The 19,667-nt window shown below is 41.8% G+C and overlaps 1 protein-coding gene and 1 pseudogene across 1 annotated transcript, besides 6 other annotated features; both read right to left on the minus strand.

Moving 5' to 3' along the window:
• Positions 80 to 18,628, minus strand: RPL39L (ribosomal protein L39 like). Its single transcript, NM_052969.3, has 3 exons — positions 18,345 to 18,628; positions 7,131 to 7,194; positions 80 to 460 (listed from the first exon to the last, which is right to left on the minus strand). Exon 3 carries the CDS (start codon positions 430 to 432, stop codon positions 277 to 279), a length of 156 nt encoding a protein of 51 aa, NP_443201.1. The 5' UTR covers positions 433 to 460; positions 7,131 to 7,194; positions 18,345 to 18,628; the 3' UTR covers positions 80 to 276.
• Positions 86 to 481, minus strand: RPL39P19 (ribosomal protein L39 pseudogene 19; annotated as a pseudogene).
• Positions 9,981 to 10,170: an enhancer, noted in NCBI's record as "active region_20966". NCBI's record gives its function as "activates an Ori minimal core promoter by ATAC-STARR-seq in GM12878 lymphoblastoid cells {active_cell/tissue: GM12878}" and the evidence as "EXISTENCE:reporter gene assay evidence [ECO:0000049][PMID:35858748]".
• Positions 16,144 to 16,644: an enhancer, noted in NCBI's record as "H3K4me1 hESC enhancer chr3:186854800-186855300 (GRCh37/hg19 assembly coordinates)". NCBI's record gives its function as "activates a minimal SCP1, AML or CMV promoter by ChIP-STARR-seq in primed H9 embryonic stem cells {active_cell/tissue: H9 hESC(primed)}" and the evidence as "EXISTENCE:reporter gene assay evidence [ECO:0000049][PMID:30033119]".
• Positions 17,834 to 18,340: an enhancer, noted in NCBI's record as "H3K27ac hESC enhancer chr3:186856490-186856996 (GRCh37/hg19 assembly coordinates)". NCBI's record gives its function as "activates a minimal SCP1, AML or CMV promoter by ChIP-STARR-seq in primed H9 embryonic stem cells {active_cell/tissue: H9 hESC(primed)}" and the evidence as "EXISTENCE:reporter gene assay evidence [ECO:0000049][PMID:30033119]".
• Positions 18,209 to 18,308: an enhancer, noted in NCBI's record as "active region_20967". NCBI's record gives its function as "activates an Ori minimal core promoter by ATAC-STARR-seq in GM12878 lymphoblastoid cells {active_cell/tissue: GM12878}" and the evidence as "EXISTENCE:reporter gene assay evidence [ECO:0000049][PMID:35858748]".
• Positions 18,349 to 18,498: an enhancer, noted in NCBI's record as "active region_20968". NCBI's record gives its function as "activates an Ori minimal core promoter by ATAC-STARR-seq in GM12878 lymphoblastoid cells {active_cell/tissue: GM12878}" and the evidence as "EXISTENCE:reporter gene assay evidence [ECO:0000049][PMID:35858748]".
• Positions 18,539 to 18,768: a silencer, noted in NCBI's record as "silent region_14994". NCBI's record gives its function as "represses an Ori minimal core promoter by ATAC-STARR-seq in GM12878 lymphoblastoid cells {active_cell/tissue: GM12878}" and the evidence as "EXISTENCE:reporter gene assay evidence [ECO:0000049][PMID:35858748]".

Below are 19,667 nucleotides of genomic sequence, written 5' to 3' on the forward strand. Positions count from 1 at the left end.
CCCAGGGGTTTGGCATACAGCACAGATCCTGATGTTTACCGAATAAATGAAGGGACAGTTTTTAAAGATGACAGAGACATTTTTGAAACAAAAGCTTTCACATATTTATTACTGAATCCACCCTACTAGCACAGAGCATACAGAAAAACAGAAAAAAATATTCCCAGTAAAACATGTGCAACTGTCCAGGTAGTGGTGACATTTTCAGCTTGATATCGTAAGATGATCGTGAACTTGATACAGCATAAATATGTGTGCCATCTCATGTGCAATTCCTTATAGACCCAGCTTGGTTCTTCTCCAATGCCTCCTTTTGGAGTTGTACCTGATTTTACTACCAGGTTTCATCTGAATCCACTGGGGGATGGGACGATTTTGCTTTTGTTTCTTGGCCAGGAATCGCTTAATGGTGAAAGTCTTGTGAGAAGACATGGCGAGAAACAGAGTCAACCACACACCACTATGGCGGAGAAAGGGAGAGAGAGACAGAGACAATATTACCATAGGATAGGATAAGGTAACATGAAGAAATAACAAGACAAGAAAGAGGATCTTTAGTGCCACAGCGAGGGCTCATTGCCACTCAGGATCCCACAGGCAGCTCAGGAGCAGCTCAGGAGCCAGCAGCGGTCTGAGGAGTCTGATGGCTGTTCTGGTGGATCAGCAGCAAAGGCAGGAGTCCCTTTGTTCCTACTGTTCCTGACTTGATGCTACTCATTTCTCAGCAACATACTTCTGCTTCTCTTGTTAAATGTCCATCAAGAGGAATTATTTTCAACTTTAAAAAAGTTACGAACAGGTAATACCAGTTCATTACAGAAAAATTAAAGCAATAGAACACTAAAAAAAACTATTATCCCATCTAGCTAGAAAAAGCCCCAATATTAACAACTTGATATTATAAGAGCCTTCCAGTTAAGACAGATGTACATGCAGAATATTGTCTTTCTATAAATTGAGATATTGTAGATATTATTTTGTAACTACAACTTATCTAACTAATATGTGACCCTTTTTTGGCAACTCTTTCTCAATAACCCTTTACATTTGGAGGTCTTAAATCTTTTCCAGTGTCCTGCTATGGCAAATAGTACAGAACAGGAAAACATGGTTGAAAATAGAAACCTATAAAACAAGTAATTCATCCCCACAACACTTAAAATATGAATGTATACATTTAAAACATGCGATTTGCTGTAAAACTATCTCACGGTACTTTCATGTTACTACTATTTTAAAAGCCACTGGCTGTGCATACTAATATTTTTATCTAATTATCAAAATTGACCACATTGCCATCTACTGAATTGCATGCTACCACTCCATTTAAAGATCTTGGGTCCTCCATAATTAACGAACATCAACCTGGGGCCAGAGACACAGTAGTTATTTTTAATGATTCAGATGCAAAATAATGTCTACATCTCAGATTGTGAGAGTAATTACATGATGGCAGTAAAGTCTTACTGCAAACAGTGTTGGAGATATACAAACAGTATGGATCTGTCATGACAAAGGCATTTTTTTTTAACTCTAAGATAATGGGGATAGTGGTAGTGTGCAAAAAGTATGACTGTTTCTGACTGTCTGAGTTCACACACAGTGTCTAACCCAGTCTCTTCAGATGTGACCCAAGCTATTATCTTGGTTTCTGTCTTATGGCTCACTGTTGTGAGATGTTTATTCTATGTCTGGCATCTCCCCTAACATGCAGGCAGGAAGAAGAGAAAGAAAGAAAGAAAGGCAAAAGAGTACATGCTGTGAGGCTACCGGCTTTTAAGGAGCTTTACTAGGTATCTCTCTCAATACCTTTGATTACACCTTATTGGCAAGAACTGTGTTCCACTGCCATCCTTAGCAGTAATGAAGGATGGGCACTATAGTTTTTTAGCTGAGCACATGATGCCCCTAACCCCACACAAATCAGGTTCTGCTAAAGAAAAAGGAAGAAGAATGAATAGCAGAGTAGATAACTAGCAGTCTTTGCTATAACAATTTTGGAAAAGATAATTTAGGATACTTCTGTGAATTTCAGCTCTCAAAATAACCAAAAGAAAATAGAGGAAAATTTAAAAAAGAGAAAAAGGAAGTTCTCAATAGAAATACCTATTAGTCTAGGTATTGAAAAATGGGGTGGAAAAAAAGTCCAAATTGATGGGCAACCCATAAATATCATGGTAAGGAAATACCAGAAGAAATAAGAGTGCTAATTATACTGTCTGCCTTTCAACCCTAATATCCAAACTTCAGACACTTCTGAGACAACTGCCCTAGTGGGGAGGCCAGTGTCCCCAGATTTGTACATCTTCCCACTGGGAACTTTCAGGAGCAGGAGACTTTATGTGCAAGTAACAGATGAGTAGGCAACTAAGTTGGGGTATAGTGTGGGGTGTGGTTGAGATACAAATGTTTCATGAAATATAAAACATTGAAAACTAAGCCGCAAGTATCCTTGTAGGAGTCTACAGGTTACGAGAATAACAAATAGGCCTGAAAATGCCAAATGGGTGATAAAGATAGGGAAAGTACACTACTATTTCTGCCCAATCCTTTTATTTTCTTCCCATACATTAGCAGCAAAGAACTTTTAGCTACCAATCACAGTTCATCTTAAATTGACCACATGCTGACTTTAGCTAGCTATCTAGCAGACCCTGTTCTACCCTTTGTATATTAATTCCCTCTATACAATCTATCAGTGACTATTTGGCTCCAACCACTTCAGAAAAAAAGTCTTCAAGAATACAGGGAAAGAACTAGACTGGGTTGCCAACAAACCCAGAGTCTTAACACCCTCTCCCTTGGGAACCCTGGTTGTACTGGTTAGGGTTCTTGAAGCCAATCTTGTTTGAAAGTCTTCTGTAAGAAAAATCTACTGTAGTAAGATAAAGAACTACAGTAGGACAAATAGTTTACTGTACTATTCCAAGTATTCATTTCCAATGAAGAGGATGATAGTGTGCTCACCTCTGGAGACACTTTGGGCTAGAAGCTCTGACCAGGTATTTCCTGAAAGCTCAATGCCAGTGACATACAGCTCTTAGCTAGAACTAACTCTCATGGAAACTTTTAAAAAGAAACTCAAAGAGATATCTGCTATCTGCATTGGAGACAGTGAAAGAACTGAAAGAACTGGCTATAATGCCAACTGAAATAAGCTTATAGCCAGTAAGTCAGTAGTCCTCATTCTAGTACAATAGTAATGGTTATGAGGGCAGTTTTACCTTAAAAGGAATGATTACACTTAGGAATTGCCCCACACATCTCAGGTGATTCAGAGGACCTCAAGGAGTTCAATTTTCTCAAGAAAATATTGAATTACATACCTCTGGCTATATGCTAAGTTATCTAATTAGTCTAGAGGCTGCAAATACAGTATAATATAGATCCTAAGTACTGGAGATACACACTTCATTCCAGAAAATTGAGAGATGGGAAATCATGGTACCAAGTAAAAAAACTGGGCAAATTCTAGAAACTGGATAGCCTATGCAAAGGCGAAGTTTATTAAGTGATCATAAATGGAAGGCCTGCTGCAGTTGAAAGAAAGCACATGTGGAGATGGAGGCTCATGAGATTTATTAAATCTCTATCAGATGCAATCATACTTGGCCATTTAACTGGCGCTTCAAGAAAGATGATATATCCCTAAACCCCGAGACATACATTTCCTGCCCCTTGCTGTCCTAAGCATAATCTTCAACCATATCTAGATGATTCTGAGAGTTCAAGGCACTAGTGCTTGTAAAATCAAGGTGCTCATAAGGGTCCCATTCTTTAACATCTATGCTGAATATCAAAAATTGGACTCTGGATTTTGGCAAAAAGTATAGGCCCACTCCTCATTCTTCTACTTACTGGATATAGAGGTCATGTGCACACCAATGGCTGCCTGAGGAATACAGTAGTGGCAGCTATTTGGGCATAACTGGGGCTATTAAATGGTTAGACCACTTAAATTAGGCCATTAAATTAGACCACTGGGGCCATTAAATGGTTCCTCAAAATTCTTATTAGGCTCAGAAACAGAATTTGTTATATAATTTCCAAAGTTCAGTTGACTGAGCAACCTCAGCAATCAGTGATACAGCTATTATATATGACCAGCTATGTAAAAGTAATGCCAAAGAAATGGTAGCCATAATAAATGTGGTCTAAAACCACATGTCTTTAGATCATATTCTAGCTGGGAAGGGAGGAGGAGCATGTGCTACTAAATAAGGCAAATACCTACATCCCAGACAACAAAACACATGGGATGCAATACGATATGTCTATAAGGAAGTGGTTAAACTGAGTGGGCTTCATGGTGGTCCTGGCTCTCCATACCTTTTCATAAAGTAGGATTTTATAATAAGAAATGGAAATTTATACTAAGAAATTTTATACTTGTGAGAGCAATATTTTGATTTTTAAGTGATAAGTTGTGTGAAAATAATGGTGGCATCATATTGGTTTAAAGGTCAATGTGTTGTTTTAAACAAAAGTTATCAACTAAGGGTTGGTTGGAGGTTGGCCATAACTTGCCTTGTAACTTAAGAAGTGTCATGGCTGGAAAGCCTCTATGTGATGTGAAAAGCACCCTTTGTTATTTGTAGCTCAGAACTGGAGAGTTCCTGCATCTTGTGGCTTTCTGAATCGCTGCACTCAGACAAGAAGAAGCACCTGCTGCCTGTTGACCACTACCTCTTCCTTACCCATCCCTAATCACTGTCTTTCCACATGTGGTTACAGTGAGATACTAGATCCCCCATTCGACCACCTGCTGCCTGTTGATCAACTCCTCTTCCTTGCCTCTCCTGTCTTCCTTCCCCACTATATAAACCCCTAACTTTGGCTGGAGCGAGGAGATGGATTTGAGGTTTGGCTCTGGTCTCTCTGGTTGACATCAACTGTAAAATAATAAGTCTTCCCTGGCAATACTTGCTTCTTTTTGTGCGGTAAGCAATGGGACCTAGACTGAGCCCCTAGTGTTTTGATATCACTATCACAAATCGTGAAGTGGATCTGTATTAGGCACACCTCTGCACTTTGTGAGGCTTTCTGAAGTTGTGGGAAGCATTTCTTGGAACCCACTGAGTAAATATCAGAGCACTCCGGAGTGGTTAAAGGTTATATTACTATTTAAGGTCATAAGGTTAAAGGTCATAAAATATTTTTAAATATGGAACTCCGGGAATCTTTTAACAAAAAAGTTTTTGTATCCAAACCATCTTGTGTGTCCCATGTCTGATTAAACTTGTAGACTAAAAATAAGAACTTTCTGTTCCCAAAAATATAAACATCTATTGGTTTCTTTTTTTTTTTTTTGAGATGGAGTTTCACTCTTTTTGCCCAGGCTGGAGTGCAATGGCGCCATCTCAGCTCACTGCAACCTCTGCCTCCCGGGTTCAAGCAATTCTCCTGCCTCAGCCTCCCGAGTATCTGGGATTACAGGCGCCTGCCACTACACCCGGCTAATTTTTTTATATTTTTTGTAGAGATGGGGTTTCACCATGTTGGCCAGGCTGGTCTTGAACTCCTGACCTCAGGCGATCTGCCCGCCTCGGCCTCCCAAAGTGCTGGGATTACAGGCTTGAGCCACCACGCCCGGCCCATCTATTGCTTTTTAATGTTTTGAAAAACCACAGTATTTTGAAAAATACTGTGCTTTATTAATTTATTTTCCATTTCTAGTAATGGTGGCCCAGGTTATTTAGGTCAGTCTGCCAGCTGAAAACAAACCAACTAAAAAACTGGGTAAAATATATTTCAAATAATATTTTAAAAAGCCTCAAAGAGATTACAAAATAGTAAGGAATTATCAGGCCAAAAGTTAAGAGAAGCAAAGAATCAAGAGAAGTAAACAAGCCTGAAGCCACTTTTTCATGGAAAGCACTGCTAATCCCAGAACATTAGGACCTCCATTTTGACAGCATTTCAGAGTACAGGGGAGATTGAAAACAAAACCCTGGGTTCATATAAGTTGGGGAGTCTGTCAGGAGACCTTCTCCTACAACAATCTGGGATCCAAAATCTCAGAGTGAAGGTGAACAAGAATTGTAATAATGTGAATGCGCTGAGACTCCTCTGAGTTGTCCAGGAAATATCAAACTTTGAACAGGTGGGCCCAAACTTGTGGTACCTGCAGGTACCCAACAAAAGCAAATATGTGTGATCTTTGGGACCAAGTATCTTAATTACAGGCCAGACAATTATTTCCACAAAATGACATTTCAAGTGCAATGACTAGCAGAGGGTCAAACATAACCAGCATATAAGAAAATTGGAATCAATGATTAAAACAGACAATAGAAAGAGATCATTAGAAACTCTAGGTAGGACCCAGCATCTGTGTTTTAAAAGCCCATCCAGGTCATTCTGAAGCATGTTAAAGTTTGAGAATCATTGCTTTACATTTTTATCATATAAATATACATCCCATAAAAAATATATAAATGTAATACATCAGAGAATGGACCCAAGAATTTGCATTTCTAACAAATTCCCAGATGATACTGATGCCACACCACACTTTGAGAACCACTAGTATGAAAAAAGGAATTTTAGTATACAGGTAAAGATAGTGGTCACCTGTGTGGAGAAGGGCTGTTACTTAGAAGCAATATGCGTATATTTCCTAGAACGCTGGTAATTTTCTATTTCTTAGCCTGGGTAGTTATTACACAGGTGTCATTATTAAACTACACATTTACACTTTAGTGCCTATTTTAATGCATAGTGAGATAACTGGTTTCCCTTTCCCATTCAATCATACAGTTCAAATGCCATGGCGTAAATCCTGTCTACCATCATCCCACCACCTTCATTTATAATCAGTGCCTAAAGTATAAAATGTAAAAGTTTGTGAAGTTCCAAGACATAACTCCTTTCACTTTAGTTTGCAATGTAATTTTTCACAAAATTAAATAGCTTTGAAAATTAAGATGAGAAAAGTTTAGTCTAAGTTTCTGAAAACCATATTTAAAACACTTGTTTAAAATTCAGATATACTATCTACAGCCTTCATCCCTAATTTAAAAATATCTACAAAACTAAAAAGAAACTATCTTAAATTTTTAACAAAGTGTCCAATTTTAAAAATTACACTTTTTTTTCACAAGTTGAAAGAAAGAGGAAGAAAATCCTACCTTTTTCAAGTCTGAATTTCCTACTCCAAAGAGGCAAAGATGCTTGCTTCTCTCCAAATAAAATCTGAAAAGAAAATATCCAGTGTGTAATGGTAACAGTAAGATCCTACTATTTTCAGTTAAACCTTACCTGTGGGTGAAAATAATGTTCATCAATTGGCCTGAAATTTGTGAAAACCTTAAGAGAAAATATGGGAAGTCTTTTTGCAGAAAGAGAGGCAATGACAACAAAATTGAAACACGTAATATTAAACTGATCAGTGCAGCCTGTGCTTGCTTTTGAATTCCCACTCACAAATCCTCAAACAACATTAATAAAATGTGGGATGTGTACACCTGTTTCTTGTGTTTATGAAAAATAAGCTCTTTGGGGGGATTAGATTCTTCCAAAAACTTCAAAAAACAGTAATATTTGCCATTTTTTTGATTCATGGTATCAACATAGTTATTATACAAGCCCTCCTCACCTTTCCTCTGTGAGGAAACCATTATAACAGTTTTTTAATATACATTTCTTTCTCTCTTTTTTGAGACAGGGTCTCATTCTGTTGTCCATGCTGGAGCAGAGTAGCATGATCCTAGTTCACTGCAGCCTCAAATGCCTGGCCTCGAGTAATCCTCCTGCCTCAGTCTCCTGAATAGCTGGGACTACAGGTTATGTCCCAGCATGCCTGGCCTGTAACAGTTATTATAGTTACTGATTCTGGCAGCTAGGCAGTAGCTGTCTATGCCTTGTGATGTACCAGACAGGTATCTGAACAACCAAATAGTCCCCACGGCAAGGTCTGTGTGTAATGCTTCCCTGTGGCAAGCTATTGACTGAGGCTATGGCAAAAACATATGCAGTTGGGTTTCGTTATGCCTATAAACATCATGATACGTCCAACGTCCATTTATGTGGTAACACCTAGCCAGACCCTATTATACCTCTTGCTTTGCTCAGCACTATTGTACCTCTTGCTTGCAGAGAGCTGTATGCACCCATCCCTTACAACGTCCTCTCCTTCCACTGTTGCAAAATGACCATATGTTATGATGCCTAATCATTATCATATCAACTACAGGCTATGTGGCAAGACAGTGATGATAGCTTAGCAAGGATTGTTTCTGAATATTGAATGTTAGATCCAGATGGTCAGACAAGTGAAAGGCAGTTTTTGCACCATGTGAGTTAATACACTGCAATTTCAAGATAATATAGCTCAGGATAAAAGAGGTTTGATAAGCTCGCTTCCTGAGCAGGTAGAACAACGGGTTTTAGTAGTCTAAATACATCTCCTAGGCGGATTTGGGGAGACGTGAAAAGCCACACACACTGAACACTGCCAATCCAATGTCCTCTGTGTCCTTTACTCATAATGTAACCTTCACCAAGCCTCAAACCCAGTCTTCTCTGGGATCACTTCGATTTAGAAAGTAATAATCACTTTTTTAAACAAAAGCATAAACATGGCCTCGGAATAGAGCTGATCTTAGGAGAGCAGTGCTCCTCCTCCTCCTCATTGACAACAATACCTTAAGCACATAATTCGTTCTACAAAAGGACATCCTCACTCAGTTCTTTTGAGTAGAAAATTCTAAATTATCCAAGACTTAGCTGAGCTTGTTATATTAAATGGTGTTTACCTGGTCTTAAGGATAAAATATGCTACAGTAAAGCACAAAATATGTAGTACCTTTTCATTAATGTCTACAAATTGTACTGGATTATGAACCCTCTATACCTTTTGGACTATAAAGTTAACCTTAAGAAACCAATCTATAAAATTGCTGCATTATATTTTTCAACACAATCTGAGTTTTCCTCCCTACTCCCAGGTCACCACTATACCCTCCCCTCCACCCTTTTTTTTTTTTTTTCTTTTTTGCCTTTGTGAGAATATCAGGCTCACATATAAATAAGTGCCACTTAATAAGAGCTGTATTGTATCATCTAGGTCACCCAGTAGGTATAGAGAGGACATTAGTGATTTCCCTTGGGCTAGGCTAAAATACTTCATCTCATACATAGTTTTAATATACTTTGTTATAATAATCAGTTGGCTTAAAAAACCCATCATAGAACTCTCAAAGCATCCTACTCCTTCAAGACAGCCCTTGCCAAATGCTTTGAATATTCTTGTTGACTGTCCTGTCTTTCCTATGTATCCTCTTACAAGAACCAGTCTTGGGATTTGTGAGATATTCTAGTCATTTGTGAATCTACTTTGCTTCACATGAGTTGATAACATCCACGATGTCACCTTCAAAGCAAAGTTCTTTGTACTTTCCATTCATTGGTTTTATTCTCTGACGTATTAAATCACAATTACTTTTGCACCAATCTAATAGTTTGGATATTTGTCCCCACCCAAATCTCATGTTGAATTGTAATCCCCAATGCTGGAGGTGGGGCCTAGTGGGAGGTGTTTGGGTCGTAGGAATGGATCCTTTGTGGCTTGGTGCTGCCGTCGTGACAGTGAGTTCTTGTGAGTCTGGTCATTTAAAAGTGTGTGGTACTTCCCTTTCCCCAACTCTCTCTCTCACTCTTGCTTTTGCCATGTGACGTGCCTGCTCCCACTTCACCTTCTGCCATGAGTAAAAGCTCCCTGAGGCCTCCTCAGAAGCAGAGCAGATGCTAGTGCTATGCTTCCTGTACAGTCTGTAGAAACATAAGCCAATTAAACCTCTTCTTTATAAATTACCCAGTCTCAGATATTTCCTTACAGCAATGTAAGAATGGCCTAACACATTCTCAATCATTTGACAAAAATTTTCATCCTAAATATCTTCTGTATGGCAGGTGGTTTCTGAGCAATCTTTAATTTTGAAACTGAAAGTACTCAAGTATTTTATATGCAGAGGTAGGGCTGTTCTTACAAGTTTTTTTCTTTTTGTAGCACTTCCGCTGTTACTGAGTCATCTGCATCACATGACATTTGTATCAGATGGGCACAACTGTCTCTGTATTTCATGCTGTTTGTTGACTTATGAGCCCAGGGCATCACTATACCACTTGCTAACTTACTTTCCTTAGCATGTCCTCTTTCAGCTTTCTCTACATCCTTGGTTGGCACATGACCTAAAATCAAAGTGGTATTTAAAAGGCTTTTTTCACATATACAACTCTCACTTTCTCTACATCATCCTGCAAGTTGAAATATTTTATCTCTTCTGTATTTGCGACCACTGTCACAGTGGTTAAAAGAACTCTGGAGGGCCGGGCACAGTGGCTTATGCCTCTAATCCCAGCATTTTGGGAGGCTGAGGCAGGCACATCACCTGCCTGCATTTTGGGAGGCTGAGGCAGGCACATCACCTGCCTGATTTTGGGAGGCCGAGGCAGGTCAGGAGTTCAAGACCAGCCTGACCAACATGGTAAAACCCTGTCTCTACTAAAAATACAAAAATTAGCCAGGCATGGTGCCTGGTGCCTGTAATCCCAGCTACTTGGGAGGCTGAGGCAGAAGAATTGCTTGAACTCAGGAGACGGAGGTTGCAGTGAGCCAAATCACGCCACTGCACTCCAGCCTGGGAGACAGAGAGAGACTCCTTCTCATTTAAAACAAAACAAAACAACAACAACAACAAAAGAACTGTGGAAACAAACTGCACAGGCTCAAGTCTCACTGCCACCACTAGCTGTTAGTGTGACCTTGAACACATTTCTTAGCCATGTTGTTCCTTTTTTCTAATCTGTAATATGTGGATAATAATATCTAACATCATAAGGTTGTTATAAAGCTTATGTAGGTGAGGATTTAGCATAGTAATGAGTGTAAAATATTTAGGACAATGCTTGGCACATAACAAACACAATACAGGTCTTAGCTGTTATTTTTATATCTACAGCTGTATAAAGCCTACAGTTGTTGAAATTATAAATGTTCCCAGTTTTAAGATTTCTGTGTTGATTCTGCTGTACTAATGTCACTATCTTGACTATTTAATAGGAAGATATCACATACACAGACTATAAGCTCCTCAAGAGGTTATATTTTTCTTGGATACTCAAGGATGCTCAGAAGAGTAATTGAGCACATGATAACGCTTTCGTCGTCACACCAGATACAGAGCATTTCCTTGAGGCTGCCTACCACATAACCATTAGTTATGGTTGCAGGGGTCACAAACACTCCTGGTTCCCACAATATCTGAAATAAAATAACACAATACCAGAGGTATTGCCCATGGTAACATAAACCAAATATGCCCCCAGGCAGCTGATAGCAAGATTATACATGCATGTGTCACACACAGGCTTATTCACCCAGAGATGGTCAATATTAATGTTCAAAGATTACTGCTACACTCAGCCATCTTCCTTTGACAAGAGAGAATACAGATTTTTTTTGAAAAAAGTTTTGCTCAAAAATCTATGAAAGATGCTCAGTTTCTGGGGGTAAAGTATAAGTCTGGTGCTGGTTGAATGCTGACTACAGGTGTAGAAGGAATAGGTGCGGACCCACCTCTTCAATGAGAGTTCATTTAGGTAATCAGGTAAATCTGATGCTGACAGACAAAAGAATGGCAGATGCTGAAATGATTTTCCTTATTCTCTATTTTCGGGAATATTTCACAAGAACTTCCCTGCTTTAGTAAGAAACAGATGTTTCCCCCCGTATGGTTTATGGTTTCTCACTATCTCAAGAGCCACTTTTGTCCATATTCAACATGCATAAATATTTCAGTAATTTGTCTTCTGCCTAGGATGTAGAAACCTAGAAAGAGCATCGCTCCTATGCCAACAACCAGAAGAACTACGAAATAATTTTTCCTGAAACTCAGAGGACTGAGGTTAGGAAGACCAACTGGACTTTCCCAGTATGAGAACTAAAAGTCCCATATCCTGGGAAATTCCTCAGATCCAGGCAAACTGGAACAACTGGTCACCCCACCTAAGGTCACAGACCAATAAAGTAGCTTGAAATCCAAGGAAAGACTGACCTGGCAAAGGAGCAAAGGGACATGAGCACTGAAGAAGAGACATCAAGTACCTCATACACTGATAAGAATTCAGCTAAAATTGTTAATGAACTGCTAAAGGTCAAGTGTGGACCAGCATAAGAGTATAAAACCCCTGGGAGCCTCAGACATAAAGACAGTTTGCTTCCACTTTCAGTCTCTCTTCCATGATCTCTACTGGGTACTGATGGAAAAGACTTGGGACAAGGCAGGAGACTAGAGAGAGCCTCCTCGGTGGTGAAGATCTATTAGGGGAAGATATGGTTTGGCTTTGTGTCCCCACCCAAATCTCATCTCAAATTGTAATCCCCACCTGTTGAGGGAGGGACCTGGTAGGAGGTGATTGGATCATGTGGGTGGTTTCCCCCGTGCTGTTCTTGTGACAGTGAGGGAGTTCTCATGAGATCTGATGGTTTAAAAGTGGCACTTCCCCCTTCACTCTCTTTCCTGCCACCATCTAAGACGTGCTTTGCTTCCCCTTTGCCTTCTGCCAGATTGTAAGTATCCTGAGGCCTCCCCAGCCATGTGGAACTGGTAATTTATACATTACCCAGTCTTGGGTAGCTCTTTATAGCAGTGTGAAAACAGACTAATACAGGGAAGTAAGCTCTTACTGTGGAAAAGGCAAAAAATCTGCCCAGACCTTTCCTTACCCAAGACTGAGGTTGGACCAGGATGACCAAGTCTTCTGGCGTCCTCTACCAAGATAGCAAGCACCAAGTAACAAGCAGGGTGAAAGGCAAAAGCATGGAGAGAGACTCCTGTGTGGTATAGGCTCATTGGGAAGGCTGCAAGCTGAGAATGAAATAGGATATTGAGAAAATCCCTCTAGCACGCTACCCTAAGCAAAAGGTAATATTAGAGGAAATCGAACCTGGTAGTGTACTGAAGATGGACCAATAAAACCCAAACCCAGCTTAACTACTGAGTAAGCTGATTCAAGACCCCACATTACTGACCTAGCAGAAAAAGCATGCTTATTTTGGGGCATAGATTATCTCAACCCCTACTGTCCTACACAAGATGCTTGGCATTTGATAAAATATTATGAGCATGAAAAAGAAAAAAACAACTCATTGTGAAGAGGGAAAGTAATCAACAGAACCACACTCTCAGATAACCTAAGTGTTAGAACTAAGAGAGATGGAACTTAAAATATATTTGATTAATATATTAATCATATATATTGAAGGTTCTAGTGGAAAAAAATAGACAGCAACATGAATGACCAGAGGGGAATTTCAGCAGAGAAAAAAAATGTTTACATTAAATGAATATGCTTGAAACAGAAAACATAGTAACAGAGATAAAGTAGTCTAAAGCAGTGGTATACAACTAGGGGCAATTCTGCCTTTCTGGAGACATTTGGCAGTATCTGGAGATATTTTTGGTTGTCACCACTGGAGGAGTGCTGCTAGATCTAGAGGGTGGAGGCCAGGGATGCTGCTGAACATCCTATAACGTACAGGTGAGCCTCATACGACAAAGAATTATCCAGCCCAAAATGTCAGTAGTGCCCAAACTACTTTAGCCTGACTGATAAAAAAAAAAAAAAAAAAAGAAGACACAAATTACCAACATCTGCAATGAAAAAGGGGACAATGCTACAGGTCTCAGGACATTAAATGGATAGAATAATATCACAAATTATTGTATGCCCATAAAGTCAACTTAGTCATCGAAGTCTTGTAAGGAAATGGACCGATTCCTTATGAGATGGGTACCACCAAAGCTCATGTAAGTGCATAACCTAAGTAGTTCTATGTCTATTAAAAATGTTGAATTGTGTAGTTAAAAATCTTGTAACAAAACTACAGGCCCAAATGGCTTCACTACCAAAAGCCAGAGATCAGGACAAGACCAAGCCTTTCTCAGTGCCAGGAGGAATGCTTGAGCTTCAACTCCCAGTTCCCACCTCTGTTATGCTTCCAGGGATTCCCAAATATTTTGCATTCTGTGGTGTTCACACCTCAATTCTATCTCACAGTGCTGACCTGATCAGTTGAAAGGTGCTGTTGCACGTAAGAGTGACCTTTGCATGTTGGGTGAAAGGGAAGCCTCAGAAAGGCAGTAATTTGAGCCAGTGGTAGACATTCTTTCCCAACTCAACTTGCCAAGGCTTTTTCGCTTAAAGCTTTCTTAAATTCTTAAGAAATTACATGGCTGTGTGATGGTAGATCCTCCCACCCTGATGGGGCAATCTCATTTCAGTCACCTGCAGGTGTCTACTGGGGTGGAGATCCAGCTTCTAAGGCTTTGTCAAATACTGTGGCTCCTGAGGCAAAGCAGTTCAGAAGCATAGCTGAGACTGAGCCTCATGATGGGACGGTAATATCGTTTGGCTGTGTCCCCACCCAAATCTCATCTTGAATTGTAACTTCCACAACTCCCACGTGTCGTGGGAGGAACCCAGTGGGAGGTGATTGAATCATGAGGGCGGGTCTTTCCCGTGCTGTTCTTGTGATAGTGAATAAGTCTCATGAGCTCTGATGGCTTTAAAAATGGAAGTCTCCCTGCACAAGCTCTCTGTTTGCCTGCTGTCATCCATGTAAGATGTGACTTGCTCCTCCTTGCTTTCTGCCATAATTGTGAGGCCTCCCCAGCCATGTGGTACCGTAAGCGCAATAAACCTCCTTCTTTTGTAAATTGCCCAGTCTCGGGTATGTCTTTATCAGCAGCATGAAAGACTAATACAGACGGGTAAGCAGTGAATAGGCAAAACACACTCGTGGGTGAGGTAGCTCACAAACAGCCTTATCTTTCCAAAGGAAGACATAAACCAAGTGTGTTGATCCATTTTGCCTTGCTATAAAGGAATACCTGAGGCTGGGCAACTTATAACGAGTTTTATTTGGCTTATGGTTTTGCAGGTGGTACAAGCATGGCACCAGCATCTGCTAGGCATCTGATGCTTTAACTCTTGGTAGAAGGTGTAGGAGGAGCAGGCATGCCGCATGGCGAGAGACAGAGCAAGAGAGATGCCAGGTTCTTTTGAACAATTGGCACTCATGTGAACTAACAGACTAAGAACTCTTTCCATGGAACTAGAGGCTCTAGGAGGACTGGATTAGGACTGCATCCAGTACACACTGATGTAAAGCTAACATCTTCCCTCATCACACTGCTTTTGAGAGCCATTCAAAACACTAAAGATCGAGATATTGGAGTCTGCCCATTTTATATTCCATAACTAATGGAGACTGCTCAAGTGAAAGCTTAAATTTACAGGTAATTTTCTGTCCCTATCTACACTTCAGACTAGAGCATCGGCAATTTCTTCACTAAAGCTAATTACTTTTTAAAGTGGTGTGACTGACAAAAAGAAGTCAGCCCAAGGATGCTGCAGTGCCAGAGTTTGTAACAATATAATTAGGAGTGAAGGTTGGTGAGGTGACCACCCTCCCTGATGACATCTTTCTTCCTTTCTCTATAGTTTTACAGTTCACTTATGCAAAACTGGACAATCAAACAGCCAAAGCAGTAGAGATAGGTCTGCCAGCAACTGAGTTGGTTCTAATGCAACAGCTGAGGGAAGTTTGAGCCTTTCTCTGCAGCCCTAGACCATCTGTAATTAGGCTGTGGTTCTTTAACTGCCAAGGCCTTTGAGTTAAGCTGGGTTAGTAAGGTTGTTTGATATGGATCGCATAGGATAAGAGTAGGTAGTGGTATTTTCTGGGAGATAAGAGTCAATGTGAGTAGTTTTTTGGGTGGGGTGGGTGGTGGGGAAGGCAGTTTTTCTGAACATTATAAGAAGTTTCCAATATCTCAAAACTTTTGTAATAGTGTTTTCCCAAAGAAATATAATGTGAGCCCCACATATAGTTACAATTTAAAATTTTCTGAGTCATGTTAAAAAATAAATAGGAACAGGTAAAATTAATTTGAATATATTTTATTTAATCTGATTTATTTAAAATACCATTTAAGCATGTAATTAATATAAAGGTGGATAAAATATTTTAAATTAAAAAGGAGACTTTAGGCTGAGTGCAGTGGCTCACACTTGTAATCCTAACATTTTGGGAGGCGAGAGGATTGCTTCAACTCAGGAGTTTGAGATCAGCCCGAGTATGTTTCTCATAGTGAGACCTCATCTCTACAAAAAAATTTAAAAATTAGCTGGGCATGGTGGTGCATGCCTGTGATCGGGAGGCTGAGGCAGCAAGAGGATGGCTTGAGCCGAGGAGATGAGGTTGTAGTGAGTCATGATTGAGTCAATGCACTCCAGCTTGGGCAACAGAACAACACTCTTCCTCAAAAAAAAAAAAAAAAAAAAAAAAAAGTGTCAGGTGCAGTGGCTCACACCTGTAATCCCAGCATTTTGGGAGGCCAAAATGCTCAGGATCACCTGAGGTCAGGAGTTCCAGACCAGCCTGGCCAACATGGTGAAACCCCGTCTCTACTAAAAATACAAAATAATTAGACAGCGTGGTGGCACATGCCTGTAGTCCCAGCTACTTGGGGAGGTGAGGCAGGAGGATCACCTGAACCCGGGAGGCGGAGGCTGCAGTGAGCCGAGGTTGCACCACTGCACTCCAGCCTGGGCAACAGAGTAAGACTCCGTCTTCAAAAAAGAAAAAGAAAAATTGGCCGGGTGCGGTGGCTCACGCCTGCAATCCCAGCACTTTGGGAGGCTGATGCGGGCAGATCATCTGAGGTCAGGAATTCGAGACCAGCCTGGCCAACCATGGCCAACATGGTGAAACCCCGTCTTTACTAAAAATACAAAAATTAGCCGGGTGTGGTGGCAGGCACAGCTACCACAATCCCAGCTACTCGGGAGGCTGAGACGGGAGAATCACTTGAACCCAGGCAGCAGAAGTTGCAGTGAGCCAGGATTGCGCCACTGCACTCCAGCGACAGAAGGATACTCCGTCTCAAAAAAAAAAAAAAAGGAAAAAAAGAGACTTTAAAAGCTGGTGTGCGTTTTAACATTTGTAGCACATCTTTTTTCAGACCAGCCACATTTCAAGTGCTGAATAGCTACATGTGATTCAATGAGCTTTGGTCAGCTCAGCTTTACAACCTCTCAGGTTCTTTCTCTAAGCAAACTCTCTTAGGTTCTGAAATTGAGAAGGCGTGGAGGGTGACTATTGGATTACAAAGCCTTTATGATTCCAACAACTCTCAGTTAATAGAAGCATCCGTCCTGTCTCTTGATGTCCTAGTGACTAAAGACATGTCTAGAGAAGAAACTCTTTTAACTATATTTTTATATAGTTACATGACAGCCTTTGAGAAAATTGAGAATTAAGGCCAGGCCCAGTGCAAAATGAAAATGTTGTGGAGGTGGCGGGGAGGGGAGGCGGGTGCTGGTTTAAAAATTAAGAATTTCAAGATTGCCATAGCAGAGCAAGAAAGTAAGTACAGGGCCCTTCTGAGCCCTATGTGACTGCACGGGTGGGACCCTTTTGAAGCTAGTCCTGGTCAGGGTTTATGTCTCTGGATGAATCCAGATGTGTAAAAGGCAAGGAAGTGGCGAGATTCCTTGGGCTATCTTTGAGAAACGGGGACCTTAAAGGAGACTGCAAAATCTTACCTACTGGAATTAATGGAGGAAAAGAAAGTGTTTGCGCCTGTGAGAACGCCTTGGAAAGAGGCAGTGAGCAGATGAGGCAGATAGGTAAGACACTTGGTTTTGCTGATTAAACCACTGATGAATCAGTGCCACTCACATCCTGGGTAATTCTAGGGACACTAGTTGGACAACGCTGACATCTGAAGAGGTGGCAGGGCGGAACATGGATCCCTTTAAGGCTACTTTATTGTCGATTTCCTCCTTCTCTAAGCTAGAAACAGGGGGTGCCTGAGTGGCCTCCAGAAGCCACTACTGTAGGCCAGGAGCAGTGCCTCACGCCTGTAATCCCAGCACTTTGGGAGGCCGAGGCGGGCGGATCACCTGAGGTCGGGAGTTCGAGACTGGTGTGACCAATATGGTGAAACCCGTCTTTACTAAAAATACAAAAATTAGCCGAGTGTGGTGGCGCGCGCCTGTAACCCCAGCTACTCAGGAGGCTAAGGCGGGAGAATCGCTTGAATCCGGAGGCGGAGGTTGCAGTGAGCCGAGATCACACCACTGCACTCCAGCCTGGGCGACGGAGGGAGACCCTGTCTCAAAAAACAAACAAACAAACAAACAAACAAAAACGCTACTACTGTTGGAGTCGGCTTGAGCTGTGGCATTGTTGTTTCCAGCCCGTGACCCTCACGCCGCCCTGCTCGTTGGGCGGACCGGGCCCTGGCGGCGGGTGAGGAGGAACCTTTACTTACCGGCGCCCTGGCCTCTGCTTTTTTCCCACTCTAGGACGCAAATCTCGATCTGCAAGGGCCTGGGGCGCGGGCGGAAAAGGCGGGCCCAGCTCCCTCAGGTCTGCGTGTCACCGACCCGAACCCGCTCCGTCGTCCTGACGCCCCCGGCCTAGCTGCAGCCACCTTGTCGCAGGGGCCTTGGTGTCTCTGAGACTCCGAGACGCCTCGCCCCCACCTGGCGTTCGGAGGCGGTTGCCTCGCTGGGCGCAGCAATTCAACCGCCGCGCGCCGGATGCTAAGACCGCGATTTCCCCGGATGCTAGGGCGGTGATTTCCCCCGTGACAGGCCCCGCCCCGGCCCCGCCCAGGCCCGGGCGGTCCCGCCCCACTGAGCTGTGGCTCGGGGAGCCGTGGGTCCGACTCCTGCGTGTGATGTGTCACCAAGTTGACTTTGGGGTCCCCCATTCTTCCTTAGTTCTCTATTTTACCTCAGCGCGTTGTCTAGCTGCTGCCTGGCCACGGTACTTAGCACACAGCGTGACTTAATACTGGATAAACGAGGAAAGGATTCGTACGCCCTGGCGGGGCCAGAGGCTCACAGCTTGGGTTCCCGCGAGCACACGAGCCAGGAACCGCCAATGCCTCCAGGGGGCGCTCTCCCTCCCATCGAGCCACCGCCGGGCCATTGGAGACCAGGAGGACCTCTCAGCTCCATCCCTGCGTCTCTAACAATTGTCTCATTTCCCTGCCTGGAGTCAGTATTACCACTCCCATAACACAGATTTTTAAAATGCAACTAAATTTTAAACGAGTCACTTTATTTAAAAACAACATGAACAAAATGGGATTTCTGCTAATGCAAATATCTATACAAATTTAACGATTTTGGTTCTAATTCTAGATGAAAAGTCAAATCTCCTGTTACATATGAGAAAAGTCAAATCTCCTGTTACATATTAGAAGTTTACCTCTTGTTACCTTTACTGCAACTGCAATGGCAGTTTCAACTGTTTCAACCAAGTAATGTAGTTGGAAATGCTGTTATTAGAAGTATATCTTCCCAGCATTTCGGGAGGCCAAGGTGGGTGGTTTACTTCAGGTCAGGAGTTCGAGACCAGCCTGGCCAACATGATGAAACCCTGTCTCTACAAAAATACAAAAACTAGCCAGGCGTGGTGGCGGGTGCCTGTAATCCCAGCTGCTCAGGAGGCTGAGGCACGAGAATCGGTTGAACCCTGGAGGCAGAGGTTGCAATGAGCTGTACTCCAGCCTGGGCAACAGAGTGAGACTGCATCTCAAAAAAAAAAAAAAAAAAAAAAAAAAAAAAAAAAAAAAGTGGATATG

Source organism: Homo sapiens, chromosome 3 (genome assembly GCF_000001405.40).
Source record: "Homo sapiens chromosome 3, GRCh38.p14 Primary Assembly".
Lineage (NCBI taxonomy): Eukaryota > Metazoa > Chordata > Mammalia > Primates > Hominidae > Homo > Homo sapiens.